The following is a 3609-nucleotide window of genomic DNA, read 5'->3' on the forward strand; positions in this document are numbered from 1 at the left end:
CACAGACACTTTCTTCCTGCTTAAGGTCATATGCTGATTGGCAAGAGAGCTATTTTTTAAATTAAGCAAACATTTAAATAAACTTTACTGGAGGTCAGGCATGGTTGAAAGTGTTTCGCAAATATTAATTCACTTAATCCTCATAACAACCCTATGTGGGTACAATTATTATCTTCCATCTCACAGATAAGAACTGAGGCACAGAGAGGTTAAGTAATTTGTCTGAGGTCACACAGCTAATAAGTACCAGAACTAGAAATCAAACATAGGCAGTCTGGCTCTCAACTGTAAAACCATGTTGCCTCCCTGGTATAAAATTTATTATTTTCATGTTATCATCATAGTAATCCCATAATGGAAGTAAAGTTGAGATTATCTAAAGGTAAAAAAAAAAGACTAGGTCTTAGGGTCTAAAGATCTAGACTCAAACCATGTGCTAGCTGTGTGGGCTTAGCGAACTCACTTAACCTCTCTCTGATTTTTTTCCTCCTCTGAAAGAAAGGAAAGTTGTTCTACTTTAAAGGATAACATAGGCCGGGCACGGTGGCTCACACCTGTAATCCAGCACTTTGGGAGGCCGAGGTGGGCGGATCACAAGGTCAAGAGATTGAGACCATCCTGGACAACATGCTGAAACCCCATCTCTACTAAAAATACAAAAATTAGCTGGGCACGGTGGCACATGGCTATAGTCCCAGCTACTCGGGAGACTGAGGCAGGAGAATCCCTTGAACCCGGGAGGCAGAGGTTGCAGTGAGCCGAGATCGCATCACTGCACTCCAGCCTGGCAACAAAACAAGACTTTGTCTCAAAAAAAAAAAGATAACATGGTGGCTTAAGGTGTCAACATATATAAAATTTAATTGCCAGGCCTGACACAATGGCTCACGCCTATAATCCCAACTTTGGGAGACCAAGGTGGGCAGATCACTTGAGGTCAGGAGTTAGACACCAGCCTGGGCAACATGACAAGACCCCATCCCTATAAAAAATACAAAAATTAGCTGTGCCTGGTGGTGCGCGCCTGTAATCCCAGCTACTCAGGAGGCTGAAGCAGGAGAATCACTTGAACCTGGGAGGTGGAGTTTGCAGTGAGCCAAGATCACACCACTGCACTCCAGCCTGGGTGACAGAGCAAGACTCTGTCTCAAAAAAAAAAAAAAATTAGTTGCCAGATGAAAAACTGAGGCCCCAAAGGGTCAAAGGACTCGCCCAGCATGAAGAAGGAATTAATGAAATCAACTATAACCTAATAGTAGTAGTAACAGAAATTTTAAAATTCTCTTAAAGTTGCTGCAAAGTGTGACCCCTTCCCCCTTACACTCAAGTTAAAAGGGAATGTTCACAGCCTGTCTCCTCTCTGTGGACAGTGAACCTTATCTATACTCCCCAACTCCACATTCCTCAAAGTTTATTACAGGCCCAGCGAGTTCCTGCACAGCTGCAGGGTCACAAGACTGGTAAGTTTAGGTTGCAAGACATGTTTCTCTCAAGATGTAAGAAATGTTGTAATGCTGCCTTTGTTTCTTGCTTCTGTAACTCGCTTCCCGCCTCACGTAGTTCCCCCCTTAAGATGTTTAAAAGTAGGAAAAGCCCTTTGTTTGGGGCTCAGACTTTCTGGACATATGTCCGGCTGGGCCGGTGATCACCTTAATAAACTCTCCTGAAACTTCTTTTCCGTCTCTCCAGTCTTTGATTGTCCTGCAACAAGTGCATTGATGACAAAATGGAATGCAGTGCTCAGCCCTCCTGGCCTCCTGCCTGATTCTCTTCGGAGTGCACCACATGGGTGGAAGAGCTGCCCCCACCACATACAGCCCTCACCCACAGTGTGATGGGTAGAACCAGGACCAGATCTACCGGGAGCCCTCCTCCCACACACCGTGGCTTCTATGAAAGGACTAAATTTAGGACCTGAAACCAGCTGAAATGGGGACAGCAGAGCCTGCTGCGCCGCAGCTGCCCATCCAGGTGTGCTGGGAGCGTAGATGGAGTGTGGGTATGGGGAAGGGAGGGGCGATGGCAGGCTGTCACTACACACCCAGTGGGGAATTGATAACATTAGAGCTGGGAACCAGTTTGGAAGTCAGAGCTCAGCCCCCTGCTCTGCTGACAAGACTGAGACTCAGAGGAGCCTCAAGAAGGCTGAGGTCACAGTGCGATGGGGCAGAACCAGGACCAGAGCTACCCAGAGCCCTCCTCCCAGGCCAGTGCCCTTTCCATTGAGTATAATAATACTAATACTTTTTAAAAATTGCTCTGTCAGCCCGGTGCGGTGGCTCATGCCTAGAATCCCAGCACTTTGGGAGGCCGAGGCGGGCAGATCACAAGGTCAGGAGTTTGAGACCAGCCCAGCCAACACAGTGAAACCCCATCTCTACTAAAAATACAAAAAAATTAGCTGGGCATCATGGTGGGTGCCTATAATCCCATCTACTCAGGAGACTGAGGCAGGAGAATCACTTGAACCCAGGAGGTGAAGGTTGCAGTGAACCGAGATCACGCCACTGCACTCCAGCCCAGATAACAGTGTGAGACTACACCGCAAAAAAAAAAAAAAAATTGCTCTGCCACCCAGGCTAGAGTTCAGGGGCACAATCCTAGCTCACTGTAACCTTGAACTCCTGGGCTCAAGCAATCCTCCTGCCTCAGCTTCCTGAGTTGCTGGGACTACAGGTGCCAGCTATTATGCCCAGCTAATTTTTTTTATCTTTTGAAGAGATGAGATCTTGCTATGTTGCTCAGGCTGGTCTCGAACTCCTGGCCTTAAGCAATCCTTCTATCTCAGCTTCCCAAAGTGCTGGGATTACACAGGTGTGAACCACACCAATTATGCCCATAATTTTTAAAATAATAACTAATATTGTGTTGGGTACTCGCCACATGCCAGTTGCTAGTCTAAGAACTTGATATATATTCACATCTGAAACAGGTACTATTAACATCCCATTCACAGGTAAGGAAACCATGGCACAGAGAGGTTAGCAACATGTCCCAAATCACATAGAAAGGCCTCCCTCTCTGCACACCGAGAGACCAAATATACAAACGGACAATGGCCAAACCGTATATGATAATAGAACTCTTTCCTACAACCTCCATCATGATCAGCCCTGGAAACCAAACCACCACCTCTGCAGCAATTGGCCCAGAAGGATCAGGACTTGGTCAATGATTGCCAGTGACTGCCAGTTTCCTTGTGTCCCCCTGACACCCTCCCCACCAGTACAACCGCCACATCCAACTCAGGACCAATCAATCACGTAGGATGTCCAGCTTCTAGTTAGCTGCCTCCAGCACCCCCATGCCAGCAGCCTCCGGTGAGGGCACACCTGAAGCCTTCCCTTTTTCTCACTGCAAATCTTCCTCACTCTGCCTGACTTTGAGTCTTTGCCGAATATATGTAGTGGTGGCCAACTCCCTTGCTATGGCTCTGAATAAAAAGCCTCTGTGTGGTCTTACTTGTGTGGTCATTGTTTATTTCTTTTTCTTTTTCTTTTTTTTTTTTTTTTTTTTGAGATGGAATCTCACTCTGACACCCAGGCTGGAGTGCAGTAGTATGATCTCAGCTCACTGTAACCTCCGCCTCCCGGGTTCAAGTAATTCTCC

The 3609-nt window shown here is 46.7% G+C and overlaps 1 annotated feature.

Annotated features, from left to right (window-relative positions):
• Nucleotides 1682-1771: an enhancer, noted in NCBI's record as "active region_4667". NCBI's record gives its function as "activates an Ori minimal core promoter by ATAC-STARR-seq in GM12878 lymphoblastoid cells {active_cell/tissue: GM12878}" and the evidence as "EXISTENCE:reporter gene assay evidence [ECO:0000049][PMID:35858748]".

The sequence above is a fragment of the Homo sapiens genome, chromosome 11 (genome assembly GCF_000001405.40).
Source record: "Homo sapiens chromosome 11, GRCh38.p14 Primary Assembly".
Classification (NCBI taxonomy): Eukaryota; Metazoa; Chordata; class Mammalia; order Primates; family Hominidae; genus Homo; species Homo sapiens.